The sequence below is a fragment of the Homo sapiens genome, chromosome 4, assembly GCF_000001405.40.
Source record: "Homo sapiens chromosome 4, GRCh38.p14 Primary Assembly".
NCBI lineage: Eukaryota > Metazoa > Chordata > Mammalia > Primates > Hominidae > Homo > Homo sapiens.
This window is the reverse complement of record NC_000004.12, coordinates 145,104,754-145,122,816: the sequence shown is the minus strand read 5'-3', so window position 1 is coordinate 145,122,816 and position 18,063 is coordinate 145,104,754. Positions and strand designations below refer to the sequence as shown.

The window sequence follows — 18,063 nt, the reverse complement described above, 5'->3', positions numbered from 1 at the left end:
TTTTTCTTTTGAGACAGGGTCTTGCTCCATTGCCCAGGTGTGCAATGGCATGATCAGGGCTCACTGCAGCATCAACCTCCCAAGCTCAAGCGATCCTCCCACTTCAGCCTCTAGAGGAGCTGGAACTACAGGCATGCACCACCATGCTGAACCAATTTTTAAGTTTTTGTGGAGGCGGAATCTGTTGGTCAGGCTGGTCTTAAACTCTTGGGTTCAAGTGACCCTCCTGCCTCAGCCTCCCAAAGTGCTGGGATTACATGCGTGAGCTACCATGCCCAGCCTGCAACAATCTTTTTTTTTTTTCCACTCCACAGCCCCTGCAATAATTTTAAAATTAGAAAGTAATAAGCAAATAATGAATGTTTCAGAGGAAAAATCATTTAAGAGTAGAAATTCCAAAGGTCAAAGTGGGTATCAAGCAACCTTAGGCAATCAGTAAGAGAACACAAAATGCATGATAATGTGCTAGGGATGAATCCTAAGATGGCTTTTCCTTGCTGTTTCAGGATAAGGCTGAATTTTAGAATTTAAAGCTAAGCTTATAGAGAGCATCAATGACAAAACTTTTATGGTAAGCTAAGCCAAGTAGACAAAACATAAATTGAATGTTGAGGTACTGAGGAGTTCATTACAACACCCGCAGAAATCAAAGGAGGTTAACTTTAACAGAATGGTTTCAAGGACTGTGGCATTTGTTAATATTTCATTTCTTTTTATGGCTGAATAACTAAAAGACATTTGCTCATTTTTAATTATAAGAGTTCTTTATACATGCTGGATACAAGTCCTTTATTGGATATATGATGTGCAAATGTTTCTCCCATCTTGTGGGTAAAGCCTTTTCACCTTCTTGCTGTTGTCAATTTGCAGCACAAAATACATTAGGTTTTTAATTATTTATTTAGCAAAAAGATGACAAACATCTTTATTTTTTTATTTTTTTTTGAGACAGACTCTCGCTTTGTCGCCCAGGCTAGAGTGTAGTGATGCAATCTCCACTCACTGCAAGCTCTGCCTCCCAGGTTCACGCCATTCTCCTGCCTCAGCCTCCTGAGTAGCTGGGACTACAGGCGCTGCCACCACGCTCGGCTAGTTTTTTGTAGTTTTAGTAGAGACAGGGTTTCACCATGTTAGCCAGGATGGTCTCGATCTCCTGACCTCGTGATCTGCTGGCCTAGGCCTCCCGAAGTGTTGGCATTACAGGCGTGAGCTACTGCACCCGGCCAAAGATGACAAATATCTTTAAAGCACTTTCTTAGCAGTGGATATGAATCAAGGATTGGACTCTTAATACATTTGTTTGCAACTATCAATAAAACTGTATAGAATCTAATTTGGAGAAAAATTTTAATATAGTAAAAGATGAAAGCTATAGGCATATATACAAAATTTTCTTTAGTAACCATATAAAAAATAATAACTCACAGTTGATTTGGGACTAATTTTCTGTGGCTTATAACTGACATTTAGAACTGGTACTTCTCCTGCAAAATAATGAAATACATAAGACACTAAAAACTGCCCAGATCTTTAAAGTTTACTGTGTAAAACAGAGTAAAAAGACTCAACAGTTACAAATGTACCTCCTTCATCAGGTTTAAGTCTTCCAGCAAGCATTCTGATAAATGTCGTTTTACCCGTTCCTGGCAACACAACATATGACAGTTTGATCTGAAAGATGCTTGACGTTTAAAGTAAATCACTATGTCCTATTTGGTTTTAACTGAGAAATTTGTTTTAAAGATATACACTGACATTATTGAATTCTGAAGTTTATATAGAAAAATACTTAAGTCTTTCATGGCTCACCTCTGAAGTGTCATTCTAAGGTAATTAAGAGGAATAAAGACTAGTCAAAGCTTATGACAATTTTAATAAATGGTATGTCTATAAAGTTTAAATCCTGCAATAGTTTGAAAAGATCTACTTAGCTAAATTATCAGGGCACACAATTTATTAAGACAGTATAGACTGTTTTATGAAAGATAACTGTAATTTTAAAGTTTACTTATATAAAATATTTAAATTAATTGCAACCCAATTCAAAATTCCCATTATCTAAAGACTGATACATTGTAACAATCTTTATATAAAATTTATCTTCTATAGTTTTGTAAGCTGTAAGATTACAATTCAAATAGTTCTTAAATCATGAAGGCAATATCACATATTTAGTAGTCAAATTCATCTTATATCTACACTTATGACAATTTATTATGAAATATATGCTGGTAATACAATTATTTACAAAGGTAGATTGCTCTGAATTTAAAATAAGAAAAGTTCCACATTGAAGTGTATGAGGAAAAAATTTTTAAAGCTGGATTATTTCTGAATCACCATTTATCCTTTCCATCTTAGTCAATTTATAAGATTAATAACTGCCTTATCAATTTACATGTAAAAAACCAGCTGACAAAGAACACCTTATTTTCACTAGAGGTTATAAAACAAAATAAGAACTATTAACCTGATTGAATTACAGTGAAATTGAATTACACAATGCCAAAAAAATGTGAAAGTACACTAAGAAATTTGTGGGTTTAAATAAAACTCTGCTTCTAGCCCTATAACATATGATTCAAATTTTTCCACAAAACAGTTAAAACTAATTTACTAGATAAACAGGAAGATTTTTACTTATCACAAAACAGAAAACTTACCATTTTCCCCCAGCATCACCATAATTTCAGAATCTGTAAACTCTCCAGCTACAATTGCTAGCTCAAATTCTCCCATTTTTTTCTTCATTCCTGGATATTTATACATACACATCTTTTTAACTTCTTCTTCATTTGCTGTCTCAGCCACTTTAAAAACAAGTGATGCATCTCTGAATCTCAAGTTTTCTGTTGGAACATAGCCATCCAAAAAAATGTTTATGCCTGTTGGGAAGAAAATTGTCAACCGGGAGAAATCATTAGAGCCAAAATCCTAAGCTCTCTTGGGAGCAATCTATAGACTATATACTTTAAATTTCTGTGGATTTTTGCTAACATGTTGGTCTGCATATAAAGAAGTAACTTAAAAAACTATATATATTTAATGTAAGTTTAAATAATTCATGAATATATATGCATGTCCCCCCCAACCACATGAAGTACATCTTCTCATTATCCTGTAATTACTTTTTCCATCAGGTTTTATGCAAAAGAGAGCACATGATGTCCTTTTTGCTTTATCTTTAAAGCGAAAATGACAAATATGTAAGAGTATTTTCAGATTGATGTAATATTGATATAAAAGTTTGGGGGATAAATTTTTTAATATACAATGTTATCAATATTTAATTTCATATGAGACATAAGCACATATTTTGAGGTTATAATTTATTGCTTTAAAAAAATTAATCCTGCAGGTTCATATGAAATTGAATATGAGCTAATTCCAGTTAACATTTTTTTAATGGCTTCACTGTACAAAGATAACAACCATTATCTAAACAGATTTTAATAACTTAAATCCACATTGTATACAAGAACCCTCTGTAATAAAATTTTAAGATCTACAATGGCAGACACACTGAAATGAAAAGCGTATTTGAGAAACAATGAATAATCCATATTTCAGTGTTTCCTATATTTAAGTGAAGAGAAAGCTGAAGTTTCTTGGAAGGTCTTGACGTTATTCATTTTATTTGGAACTGAGAGACACATCATGCAGCCTGTATCCTCATCCTAGAACACAGGTGTTCAATACATCTTTGCTGACAGAACAAATGAACAGATTACATTTATTTTGCCAAAATCAGCATGTTTTTTGATCTTAAACTATCTAAAACCTATAAATGTGAAGTTAAAAAATTAAATAAAAACAATTACATAAAAACATAAACTCAAAGGAACCTTAGCAGCCACTTGGTTCAAATACCTAACTTATTTTGGAAAATAAAGGCTCAAAGAACTAAGTGACTTCGTTTAAAAAAAACACAGCAAGTCAGTCTTTACAGTCCTACTTCAATGTTTGTCTTGTCAATTTAAAAATGAGTTCAAACCATAATCACCTTTACAGTTTATAGAAAGCTTTTAAGTATGCTGCACTGATTTCAATATATTAAAGGAACAGAGAAAAACTAAAGTTTCTTAAGCTGTTTTAATAGATCGAGCACATTAAAAACCTTACTGGGTACCATTTACTGAATGGCACAGCCTTTAGACATGACATTTATAACTGGAGTTGTGAAGAATGACTGCCGAGTACCCATATTATTATCAACTTGATTCAAAGACTACCATATGGTATAGAGTAAGGTACTCAATACATATTTGTTAATTGACAAGAATAAAACATTAATAAATTTGTTCTGATGTCATCCCTTAAGACTACTGGCAAGAAAACTAGGTAACTGCAAATTTTTCTTTAAAGTATGCATCTATCTCAAATGTATAAGTAGGTAAGTTACAACCATTTCTTCCCCACATCTTAATATTTATGTACTTTTTATAAATTATAAAAACTCCCAATATCTTTTTATGAAAAGGATTATAATGCAATATAAATTTATTTTTCCAAAAGAGCTTTTAGGTATAAAAAAGATTCCTCCAAGATTAAAAAAAAAAAAAAGAAAGAAAGAAACCAAAAAACCTGTCACCTCTTAGGGAACTACAGGCTACATGAATTTTTCTACTTCTAGGAGATGGTATTTTTTTCCTGAGTAAACAGCCCTTTTAGTGTTCTGAATTGTCAGTTTAAGACAGGTGGAGAGAAAAATAAAAATAAGACACAAGTAAGGAAGCAGTGAAAGGAAAATGGGAAGAAAAAAAGGAAAAAGGTATTGAAGGCAGAGAGTACATTGGTACTTTTTTTTAAGGAGCCACTTAGTGGTACGCTAGTTTCTATTTTTGCTTAAATTACACAGGTAAGGAGGAGACATGGAAGGGAGAGGCCAGGGAATCTCATTTTCTTGGAAGTACAAAGACTAAATGAAAATTTTAATACACTTACTAAACTATCTTATTAGGTTTTTAGATAGCCTTAGTTCCAAAAACATAGTATACATATTACAGATAAATTTAAAACATGAAAACAAGATGAACACTGAAAGCATTTTAAGAGTTTCATTACTGGTATTGGCCTGTCAAAGTTAATTTGAAAATGACAAATACTACAGTAATACTGCAGAAGCCAAAATGCAGAGGACTTTTACTGTAGCCTCCCAACCCCCAACAAAAGTAACATTGCATTTCTACCCATCCCCAGGAGAAAATTCTCCAAAATGAAAAAAATATATTTTGTATAACAACTGATATATATAACCTTATATGCTCAGTGATTAAATTCCAAGGAACTAGAGTTTTGGATGATATCAGACCAATGTAAAACTACTTAATATCAATAATGTAGTTTATAAGCATTAGAGTAGAAGAGAATACAGCATATGTGAAAAAAGTTTTTCAAGTTACCTTCTCTTACACTAAAAGGCATAGTGACAACTCCATAGGCGCTTGGTACACCATATAAACAGCAGATGAAGTCGGAGAGATAGTCTAATACACTTAGATCATGTTCCACCACAATGATATATCTGAAAATCAAACCAGATTTTAGTTAAAACTCTTACATAACTATTTTTAATAGTTGGAAATTTCAGAAAAAGAGATACATCTAATAAAATTTAAGCATAAAGACATAAGAAGCAAAAGCCATAAAACATTTTTAGTAAGGCTCATTATCAATGCTCATATTTAAAAATGTTTTCCTGAACTAAAAGGAAAAAATCAGCCAATTTAAAAGTTTATTGATATATGAATTAAATGCATTCTGCTAATAAGAAACATATTTCGAAATAAGTGTTACAAAGTAATTATAATAGATTTAATTCAGATGTAGCCTAAACTGTTTATTATGCTACTCAATTTATGTATTAAGCCCTGTACCTGTCCTGTCCCATGCTAGCTGTAGTAGGGGATGGACGCATACACAAAGATAGGACAGAATCCTTAACCTGAGACGTTTCCATTTAGCTGGGGAAGACAAGGAATAGGTATGAAATGGTAACAAAAAAAGATTACATGGCAAAATATGCTCCACAGATAATAAAATCAGTGAACATCAGAAAGAAAATAGGTTAGTGGGTACTGGAGCACTTTATGAATGAGAATGGGATATGATGTGAAGCTTAAGTGGCTATATTTGAATGAAGTGATACAGTATTGGCTGGAATAGAAGTTTTAGACGCAAGTAATAGTCATGAAGGTTTTATGTAGCACTTTATTCCCATTTCCATATCGAACACCATTCAACATGTTAAAAAAATGTCCTGCAAACATCTCATATGTCAAATTAATGTATCAGCTTCCTACACAAATAAAAATTCTCCATATTTGTATTAACGAAATTATCATTCCCTCAAAAATGACATTTTATTCCCACTGATATTTTGTTTAAACTGTTAAAGTCTGTGAATTCCTTCTCAACAATGTCTTGTGTTTCAATCTCACCCTTTTTCTTCTTTGCCTAAATTCTAGTTCAGGCCCTCGTATTTCTTTCATATCTCATTTTCTTTAGGTCCCCTGATGTGGGTCTCAATTCCAAATGAAATTAATCACTTAAATTAATTAGACTTAGACTTTCAACACTTTCTAAAACTTTAGTTACTATCTTTCTATTAGCTCATACACAGGAAACACTGAAGAATGCATCTTTTTTCTTAAATAAACCACTTCTCTACTTCTCTGGTGTCTAGGAAGCTATTCTTTTTCTAAGTAGTCTCCTGCCTAGATCTTTACCTGCTGAAATCCCACCTAACCCTTTAAGGTCCATCTCAAATCCAACTTGCTATGGGAATACTTTTCCTAATATGCAAATGAGCTTTCCCCCTCACTCTTGAATACTGGTAACAAGTATTTGGACTGATACTTGGACTTTTATTATTTTTGATTACCCCATAACTTGCTCATAAACATCTTAAGGGAGACTCTTAATACATTTTAGCACCTCTGTGATCTTTAGTCTTACACTGTGTACTAACAGACACCTAAAAAAGTTGTTGAATGACAAAATGAAGAGTATGAACTAATTGGAAATGAGGAAGATAGTAGTAGGTTCTGAAATAGCACTGTCCAGAACTTTCTACAATTATGAAAATGTTCTATCTCTATGTTGTCCCATATAGTGACTACTAGCCATAAGTTGAATGTTGCTAGTTTGATGAAATAAAATTTTAATTTCAATTAAAATTTAAATAAGGATGTTTGTCTAGAGGCTACAGCACAATTCTAGAGTAAGGGAATGAAATGAGAAAACATTTCAGGAGTAATCTGGCAAGAAAAAAAAAGTAACAATGGAAAATTGGAAAATAAGAGCAGGTCTAAGATGAAAAGGGAAAATTAAAAGGAAATGTTTTCTACCACAATGGTGGTAATTATCAATAAAAATGGCAAATCACCCAGGTGAGCTGGTGATACTCATCTTGCATCGGTGTCTTTGTTGGCACTAATCCATTACATGGAATACTTCTCTACTCTTAAAATCCTATGTTTCCTTAAACAGCCAGTGTGAGGGAGCATTGTATTACGTAGTAGCTTTTACTTTGCTTTGAAAAGAAGAAAAAAATAGGTCAAACTTCCTGCCCCCAACCCCAACCTTCAAATGGAGGTTATGGAGACAGAAGTCCAAAATATAAACATGATTTAGGTCAGCCATTCTGTTTTCTGAGAAGTTGGGAAGAAATAAAAATCTGGAGCATAGTAAGGAATCTAGGTTGTAAAAAATGTATACCCTACAGTTAATTTGGGGCTATCTCTTAGTCTTCAATGTTACTGATAATGTTCTGAGGTCAAACTCTATAAAACTTCTTAAATCTCTATTCTTTTGTCCAATGCATCCTCTATTTTTCATTATCCAAGGATATGATCTCCAAAATCTTTTTATGGCATTAAAGACTGAATGTATGCCTTGACCCATCAAATTTCAGAATGGAGATATACTTTTTATGACTCTTTATCATCAATCTATCACTACATAGAGATCTTAACTTTATACCTGTAAATAAGACCAGCCCACTTGTGAAATGTCTTAAAAATTTTCTCTACGTTGTCATGCCAATCTGTCTTACCATGTTATCCCTATTACAATTAAAGTTACTGTCCTCTCTCTTATAATATAGGAAAGTCTTGGGTAGTATTACTTTTCCTTAACTAGTTTTTTTTTCCCCGAGGTCCATCTACACTTATTTATTTCACTTTCCTATTGCAACTATACAAAATAGTTACTGATCTTTTAATTTTAAATTTATTCGTTATAAGTCAATATAAGTACCTGATGCCTTGTTTTCTAGTGATGTGTCTAAACAGTTACACATTGAAATACTGGCTGTAAACTAGTATTTTCTTTTAGTTTTCCTCTTATTGTTAGGACATGATTTGATATCTTTAAAGTTTTATATGAACGTAGATATTATCTATGACTTTCATTTTAGTATAAAAAGGGACTATAAAAATACTTTTTATAAAAAGTGACTTGAGTTGAGAACTAGTGACCTGACTTTGTGTATTCCTTTCAAGACTCTGGTACATGTGTATGCTTTTCTTTACCACAGTGTGTATTTTTCTTTACCACATTGTGAAGTCCTTGAATACTGGGACTGTATTTTTACACTTGCCTTCCCCAAAGAGCCTATCATAATGCCCAGGCTCTTAATGCCTGTGTATGGAGTAAAAATTATGGCTTCTATTTGGCTCACATGAGATTGTCTCTTTATCACTGATATTCTAAGTTTCACTTCAAAGTATCTACATGAATTAGTTAGTATCTGTAGAACTTGTGCTCCTTGAATCTAAGGAGCTGAATTTTTCATCAATTCTGAACAGTTCTCAGTCATAATCCTTTCATCACTTTATTTTTCAGACTATTAAGATATATGTAAATAGTTTCCTCATTACATTCTCCAGGTTTCTGAACCTTCTTTCCACATTTTAATTTTATTCTCTCTCTGCTGTATTCTAGTAACTTCCTAAGATCTGGTTTCTAATGCACTTTTCTGCTGTCCCTAACCCATCTAACATGTCCAGTGAATCTGTAATGTCACCATGCTTTTAATTTCTAGATTTGTCTGGGTTTCTGAACATCTACCTATTGCTTTTTTAGTAGCATTATATCCTTAGGGTTTTGAATCCTTTTATTTAAAGATTTTATTTTGAAGATTATTTAATAGCCGCCCTTAGAATGTCACCTAAAGTTCTTGAATCCTGCTGCCATATAATATGTGCTGGCTAATTTGCGGACCGTTTCCTCCTCTAATTTATAAATTTTATAATTTACAATTTGAGCTCGTCCTCATGAGCCATTACCTATAGGAATCCTGTGCAACCAGGGTTGAAAGCATATTGGTTCGTTGCTTCTGCTATGTACCATAAAAGTTCCAGACCCCTTAAACATATTACTTTCTCACTTTGAAGGGTTCACAGATTCCACTGGTTATATAAATTTCAATTCCATAGCCAGGCGAGCTGCTGGCCCATGAATAGAGATTTGAAACAGAGCAATCCCTTCACTTCCAGGGAGCTCAGTGAATGATAGATATTTGCTTTCTTGACATTTCCGTGCAATGATAGACAAGTTGTTTCTAATTCGCCCTTTCAGTGAGAAAGCAGTCCTTTGAGAGTCCTGGCACTTTATGTGTGAAAATCCAATACTAGACCTTGCTTCTTGCCCATGAGTGGATGTTAAAACCCAAGACCTATTACAGAAACCATCAACATCTGGTCCTATTACTCCTCTATAGTTCTAATGCTTTAGTTTTTGACCATTTGGGATTTCTCTTGCTTTCTTGCAAGATGAGCCATGTATTTAAAAGGATGTTCATTAAATTGTTAAGTCAGAAGAGGCAGTATAACACAGAAAATACTATACAGAAAAAAACCCCTGGGGTCTGGTCACAGCTTTGTCATACAGTAAATTTGTAACCTAGAACAAACAACTAGATTTTTGACCTTGTGCTTCATCTGCAAAATAGGAATACCATCTAAAGATTCCTACAAGATAACCATGAGGATCAAATGACATAATGAATCTGAAAACTCTACAAACCACAAAAGCACCCTATAAACACAGCGTATTTTGAATACTAACAGAAGTTATGATAATTTTCTTTTCTTTTGTCCAGCAAGATTCTGAAAAACCAGAATTACTCTAGTGATTCTTACAAATTCTAAGCGTGTGCGTGCGTGTGTTGTGTGTGTGAAAATGAGAGACAGAGAGAGAGAAAAAGATAGCTGGTAAAAGCTAAGGGTCTGCTTCCTATAAAGCTACGGAATTTGCATATAATTTCAGAATATTCCTAAGCTCCCTGGAAGCGGGGGTGTTAATAAATGAATCTTGCATTGAGAACCTCTGTTCTAGGTAAAGAAAGGTAAATTTAGGTGGCAGCTATAAACAACCAAGATAAAAAATATGTACATCACATTGACAGTCCCAGTGTTTAATCCTTAGAAATCTGTAAAAATCTCCAAACAAAACAACACAGTAATATGCCAGATCTCTACTTACCTATCTGGATTTATTAGAGATCGTATAGTAATAGCAGCCTTTAAACGCTGCTTGACATCTAGGTAACTAGAAGGCTCATCAAACATGAAACTATGAAAAAAAAAAAAAAAAAGCAAATATAAGTTTGAAAGACAAGACATTCTACCTTACATACTATTTTAAAGCACTGTAGTATCAAGAGCTTTTGAGTTAACCACAACACAAATCTCCAATAGTAATGAAGAGTCTACTTGTAATGGTAAAAATTTCTGTATTCTGTTCAGAAGTAGAAGGAAAAAATTACAGAAAGCAAGATTACACACCAGGTCTGGTGAGGGTCTACCAGGTTAGGCTAATTTACAAATTGGTCACTCCTCATAAAAAGTATTCTGATATAGTCTCAAGTAGTTTGGAGAGCTTTTCTCTTAAGTCAGCTGCATTTAAGCATAGTTTTTTGGAGGGTATTTCAAGAATTTATAGAATACTTTGTGGAGAAGAGTTAGCCTTCACCGGACAACAGGGCAGAAATGTGGAAAAAGCAGCAATAAATGTCTGGGAGGAGAGACACTAAATAAAGGAAGGAAACTTTCCTCTCCTCTCTTTCACATGGCATGCCACAGTGATCTACAGTGATTTAAAAGACCTCGCGTCTTGCTTCAGATATTAAAAAGCTTGCTAGCCTGGCTGGAGAGCTTAAGTCTTTTCACATAAAAACAGGGCTTAGGCCAGGCGTGGTGGCTCACGCCTGTAATCCCAGCACTTTGGGAGGCCGAGGTGGGTGGATCATTGAGGTCAGGAGATCAAGACCAACCTGGCTAACATGGTGAAACCCCGTCTCTACTAAAAATACAAAAAAAAATTAGCTGGGTGTGGTGGCGGGCGTCTGTAGTCCCAGCTACTCAGGAGGCTGAGGCAGGAGAATGGCGTGAACCCGGGAGGTGGAGCTTGTAGTGAGCCAAGATTGCGCCACTGCACTCCAGCCTGGGCAACACAGCGAGACTCCGTCTCAAAAAAAGAGAGCTTAGATAATGAATAACTGACTTTATATAAAAAGTTCCGGCACCTATCAGTTATAAACTATCTAAATAAATAAATATTTTCCCCTGTGAATATAACAGGGAAAATGAGTAGTGGATACACAACTGCTTCAACATCTTACCTCGAAATTAGGAACTTAGATACTATTTCTATTAATTTCTCTCAAAACCATTCCTCTATTAGCAGCATCACAACTGAAAACTCTACAATACGGATGAAGATAAACAAAAATTGTAAAGTAACCTACATATCAGCTTTCTGTATGCAAACGACAGCACAAGCAAATCTCTGCAACTCTCCTCCTGAAAGATCTTCAACATTTCGTTCTTTTAGGTGGGTTAAATCTACAAAGAACATAGAGGCATTGTGCTCAATGTATTTCACCTCTTCCAGGTAAAAAGTATACTGCATGTCATCATTTGAAGTTTGAATGCTATTTCAGTTGAAAATTGTTTAAATATAACAATTACTGGAGATTTTCAGTAATCCACATAAAGATGTGTACTTTCATCACTTAAGTTCAGGGCCTATTGAAATATATACACAAAATGGCCGGGCGCAGTGGCTCACGCCTGTAATCCTAGCACTTTGGGAGGCTGAGGCAGGTGGGAGTTCGAGACCAGCCTGACTGACATGGAGAAACCCGGTCTCTACTAAAAATACAAAAAATTAGCTGGGCGTGGTGGCACATGCCTGTAATCCCAGCTACTTGGGAGGCTGAGGCAGGAGTATCGCTTGAACCCGGGAGGCAGAGGTTGTGGTAAGCAGAGGTTGCATCATTGCACCCCAGCCTGGGCAACAAGAGCGAAACTCCGTCTCAAAAAATAAATAAATATATATTCACACAAACAAAAAATAAACACTTACCAAGCTGCTGACATACAATTGCCTGTGTCTTTGTTTCATCTTTTCGGTCCAAAATAGATCCCACTGTCCCCTGCCACAATATACCAAAAACAGTTACTATTTTCTTTCAATATTAAAAAGAATCACAAAGTAAAACAAGTTTATTTTGATATATCTTTTATACTTCTACTAATATCCGTTAAGTTCCCTCTATCAAAAACCGACCTTTGCAGCCTTAGGAATCTGGTCTACATATTGAGGTTTGATGATGGCTTTTAGGTCATCTTCTAGAATCTTTGTAAAGTAATTTTGTAATTCAGATCCACGGAAATAAGTCAAAATCTCCTGCCAGTCAGGAGGATCCTAAAAAAAAAAAAAAAATACAGAATCATGTGAATTTAATAATACAATGACAAAGAGGATGAATGCTACAGGAAATAGATTATATATGCAAATAGAACACTTGTGGCTTTTAACTTAAGGTTGGAGGCGAACATAATTAATAAAAGTCTCATTTCCCTATAGCAGCAAAGAAAGAAAACAGAACAGATATTATGTTATTCAAAAGCAGATTCCTAGCACCTAGGACATAGAAGGGCATCTAATAAGAGGTTAAGCTGGAAGGAATGTTTCCTGCTCATATTTTCAAAACAAGTGAAAATGTTTTCAGGTATCCAAGATATCTTTCTGGATACTTAATCAAGGATTCAGAAATGAAAAGCAAAATACACTTATGATTTATTTGAACAATTAATAGGGCGGCATTCACACTCTGGTGAAGCTCCATTTTATAATATCTACAAATAAAAATATCTAACTTAAGAACATTACACAGTGGCTCCTAAATTTCTTTATGTACTAAAGTTGGAAATTTACCATTCATGAGTCAAAAGCCTAATCAAACTATTGACTGCAACAAAAACTAATTGAGCTATTTTTACATTATTGGGACAAATTAAATAGAAACGTGTGTAATACAGCAGAATCAAGCAGAATTCTGCTTCAGATCAAGGCTTAACAACTCAGAATTTTCAGTTAAGTAACATTAACAGATTTTTAGTTCAAAAGTACAAAAGAGCTTTGTTTATAAATTTCTCAGCATTAATTCCATAAATAATTTTGAAAATAAGAATATTTTAAAAATATACATATCATCCCCCCAAAATCTCATAAAACTGACTCATGATATTAATTTTTACAAGGTGATAATACATACATCGTACTTTCCAAGGTTTGGCTTTTGTTTTCCTGCTAAAATTTTTAAAGCAGTTGACTTTCCAATACCATTAGTTCCAACTAATCCCAAAACTTCACCTGGACGAGGGATAGGCAACCTGTTACAAGTATACAAAAATAATAAAACAACTCAGATTTACACAGAAAAAGCCACATAACATCAGAATGATATATTTTAATGCACCTGCACTTCACAACCATCCATTAATAAGCTAAGAAACATATGCCAGATATTACTGGCTATTAGGAAAAAAACAGCCAAGATTAATGGCTATTAGAAAAAAGAACAGCCAAGATTAACTTACACTGTTAATTGTTAGAAATGCATCCTTAAACAACATTACTACAAGTTTTATTTATTCAGTTTTCAAAGTCCATCCTAAAGTAAATTTCTTCTTTACATATAAGGCCCAGTTTTAATGTATAACAAAATGCTTTGGTACAAAATTACACAGCAGGTGCAACCTCACAATGTCTTTCTTTTCTGGCCTGCCATTTACTTACAAGGAGAGAAGTGCCACATCAACCAGAAATATTCCACTTCCTTCTCCCTGCTGCAGTAGGCCCCTTAAAGCTGGCAGGTTGAGAAATACTTTTTTATTAGTAAAAATCTAGACTCCTAGATTCAAAGTGTTAGTGTTCAGCAGATAAAAATCCCAAACTAAGGATTTATTTGTGCCTTAATAATACATGTCCAAATTCAAAGTGATATTCTCTGTAGATCATAAGATTAATGGATAAACAAAATCAAAGGCAAGTTCCCTTAAAAGTTATTTTGGGGATAAGGGTACTAGGAACAACAGTGACTCTCAGTCCCAGTTGTATATTAGAGTCACCTGGGACTTTTTCAATATACTAAGGTCCAGACCCTATGATGTAATTAAACTGGGCTGAAACCTGGGCATTAGTAGCTTTAAAAAGTCCCATAGGTAACTGTAATGTTAGCCAGAATGAACCACAGACATATGCAGTATGATTCTGCATGATGTTATAATATTGTATTTTCCTTTAGTGACTGGTTAATAGCATTTCCCCCCAATTTCTGCACTTCTCTTAAAATCCCAAATGTATTTTACTCTTAACTTGACAGAAGAGGAATCCTGATGTGAAAATATACCTGTGAAGTTTGAAGGCATTGGCACAATATCGATGTGTGGTTTCTTTTTCCAAGTTGCTTGGTAGATTGACAATTGATAAGGCGCCAAAGGGGCATTTCTGTTATTTAAAGTAAAGAATTAATTTTTGTATTAATTTGTAGACATATACACATAACTAAAATGGATTAAAAATATTTTTATAAGCAATCTTCTAAACATGATTTCATAAAGATGTGAAATGTTGTTTCATTTCCTTCTACTATTTACTTAAAATAAAAGGTTCCTTGAACATTAGAATTATATCAATTGTCTCTCAGTATATGTGGGGAAAATTGTTCCAGGACTGCCGAGTACACCAAAAAATTGGCACATACTCAAGTCCTGCAGTCAGCCCTGGAGCACCTGAGTAAAAGAAAAAGTCAGCCCTTTCTAAAATGGTTTTGCATCCTGCAAATACTCTATTTCCAATTGGCATTTGGTTGGGGGAAAAAATACACGTGTATGTAGATCTGCACAGTTTGAACCTGTGATTTCATGGGTCAACTGTAACTTGATATTCCCTTTAGTGTTGGGTATAATCCTATACATTTAAAGAGTGCTTAATACTTATTGAAAAACCTTGTAGAACTTGAGGTTTTTTGTTTGGTTTTGTTAAAACATATTAGATGAGGGGAGGCTAAGAGGCAAGTCAACAAAAAAGTCACTGAATATATGGCTTTATATTCTTTCCAAAACAGATGTTCTCCCTCTGTTTCCTTCAATTATTCCTGCCCTTGTATACTTCCTGTTCTACCTTGTAAAGTCGTTTGAGGTCATGGATCTTATCCTTTTTTGGGCTATTTCCATCCCACCAATAGCTAGCATATTTGCACAGACTGGGGATTAATGTCTTTCCATTATGACTTTTATCTATCTTATATGAATAAGATACTTGAATTCTCGGAGTCAATTCACATTAAAAAACAAAATAAAACACATAGGCTTATTCAAATAACATTCAACTATAAGATGACTGTCCAAGGAACAAGAACAGCAAAAACAGGAAGGTCATTTAAGAATGGTAATATGGCTAGAAAAATTTTTCGTAAGTACAGACAACTACAGAGGTACATGCAAAAATTATAACCTCATGTTATTAGAGATCTGTTCAGCAGACATGTTCAATGAGCTTAGGGGACCAATTCTAAGTTTCCGTGTTTAGAGATTCCAGGGAATTTCCATTTTATACATTATAAAAACAGATAATTACTCTTGTTTTCTAATAAAGTAATTTCCACCCTCTAACCAAAACTATTAAGTTTTTACAAATTATATTTTTCTATATTACAGTGGAGGATAGTGGAGTTACCTCCATTATCCTCTTCTCTTAAATGTACATACAATGCTTATATGCTGCAAGTGATTTAAACTCAATTCTACAAGGAAAAAAATATCCACTGTTCATATATGAGGTACATTATAATATCTTAGTGTTCAGGAATTATACATTACTTCTCCACCCTCAAAGAGGACCACCTCATTAGTATGTTTTTAGCCACTCAAGTGTATATCCAAAATTTAAAATTTAAATTAATATAATTTTCTTACAGCACAAAGAGAGAAAACAGAATAGATACTATATTGCTCAAAACCAGATTCCCAGCACCCAGGATAAAGGCAGGTATCTAGTAAGAGATTAGTAAATATTTGCTGGAAGGAATGCTTCCTGTTTATATTTTCAAAGCAAGTGAAAATGTTTCAGGTATCCATGAAATCTTTCCGGATACTTAAACAAGGATTCAGAAACCAATGTGAAATATACACACGATTTATTTGAACAATAGTGTGGTATCTGAATTCTGGTGAAGCGCCTTTTTATAATATCTACAAACAGAAAGATCTAAATTAAGTATGTTACACATTAGCTCCTAAATTTCTTTTATGAACTAAAGTTGGAAATTCACCATTCATGAGTCAAAAGCCTAATCAAACTATTCAAGGCAACAAAAACTATTAATAATTGAGCTATTTTAAGTATTATACTATTGGGAAAAATTCAATAGAAGCATGTGTAATACAGTAGAAGAATTATGTTAAATTTTAAAATTTTTGGCTGTGTGCATTTCTATTTAAAAGGTGTGAATTTAAAATTCAATACAGACTTGAAAGAAACATGTAATGTGATGGTAATGTCCTTATAAAAAGGTGAAAAAAGAGAAATTTTGGTTGGAAATGGCTTTATAAAGTTGAGTACAGCAAGAGTAACTTTTAAAAAGGGTGGTTTAATTTATTTAAAAAAGCAACAATGTCACTGATATTAGAATACCACTTTCCTAAATTTACATTCTCTATTCATTTGCTTTATACTTTGCCTCACTTAAAGTAGTTATAGCATAGTATCCAGAATTTTCAGATTTCAGTTTTAGGTTACACGTTTGATCCAGTAAATAAAATATTACTTACCTTAATACAGATACCACAACCAATACAAAGAGTTTCGGAAATCCATGCTATTTTGCTCTGGGGTGTAACCTCTATGCATAATTTTCCTGGTAAAGGAAAAGATATAATTAAGCCATTTCCTTTGATCTTCTAATTTTCCGAACACTGTTATTTAGGCAATGCTGGTTCTAAATTTCCATACAGAAGCAGATTTTCAAAAACAAAGGCCACACAAAGAAATACATTTGAGATAATGTCTTAAATCAGTGCTTTGTGGGGACAGATTTCTAATCACTTATATGAATATCCTTGTTTGGCAGCAGGGAGATGATTAATTAATATATATTTATTTTACTTAATTTACTACTGGGGAAGAAAATATGCTAGTAAAAGTATGACATATCCTGAAATATTTTTAAGCTGATTAACCTAAATTTTAAATTCATAAAACAAAATATGCCTTGAAAATGGTAAGGCAGAGCATTAAACGAATGAACTATTGTAGCTAGATCAGTAAAACTCCAAAAAGGTATGCAGTCATCTAACATACAGCTAAAATTAAACATGGTAGTAGGGATAATGGAATTTCTGAATAGCAAAGGAGACAATAACAGATGACAACTAAAGTTTCTAAGTTTCAGTAATTCTAAGAGTCAGTAATTCTATGCCTCATTCGTATATTCACAATTACTTAACATAGCCCTTAACGACTACCAATAATTTTTCAACTGAATTGTTGGAAATTTATCTAATCTTCAAAATATAGTTAAACCTTATGAATAGTCATTCTTATTAAGCTCTTTGTTCATTTTTTAAATATGAAAATACTGTCAAAGTTTACTGTAACCCTTCCCCCATTGATTATAGTAATTAATTACTATATATATAATATTAAAGTAATTATAAGATTTTGTAGATTTCAAGATCAGTAAGCTGAACTCTGCTTTGAGTTCACATC

The 18,063-nt window shown here is 33.6% G+C and overlaps 1 protein-coding gene across 2 annotated transcripts in view; it reads right to left on the bottom strand.

Moving 5' to 3' along the window:
• The window catches only part of ABCE1 (ATP binding cassette subfamily E member 1), a 31,214-nt gene that overhangs the window by 6,708 nt on the left and 6,443 nt on the right, over nt 1–18,063 (bottom strand). For both annotated transcript variants that reach the window (NM_002940.3, NM_001040876.2), the window contains exons 3-13: nt 17,127–17,212; nt 14,705–14,802; nt 13,568–13,685; nt 12,577–12,714; nt 12,373–12,442; nt 11,753–11,849; nt 10,489–10,578; nt 5,403–5,524; nt 2,664–2,885; nt 1,584–1,643; nt 1,426–1,484 (exon numbers count right to left, since the gene is read on the bottom strand). In NM_002940.3, the coding sequence (NP_002931.2) occupies nt 1,426–1,484; nt 1,584–1,643; nt 2,664–2,885; nt 5,403–5,524; nt 10,489–10,578; nt 11,753–11,849; nt 12,373–12,442; nt 12,577–12,714; nt 13,568–13,685; nt 14,705–14,802; nt 17,127–17,212 (1,160 nt within the window). The remainder of the gene's footprint in view (nt 1–1,425; nt 1,485–1,583; nt 1,644–2,663; nt 2,886–5,402; nt 5,525–10,488; nt 10,579–11,752; nt 11,850–12,372; nt 12,443–12,576; nt 12,715–13,567; nt 13,686–14,704; nt 14,803–17,126; nt 17,213–18,063) is intronic.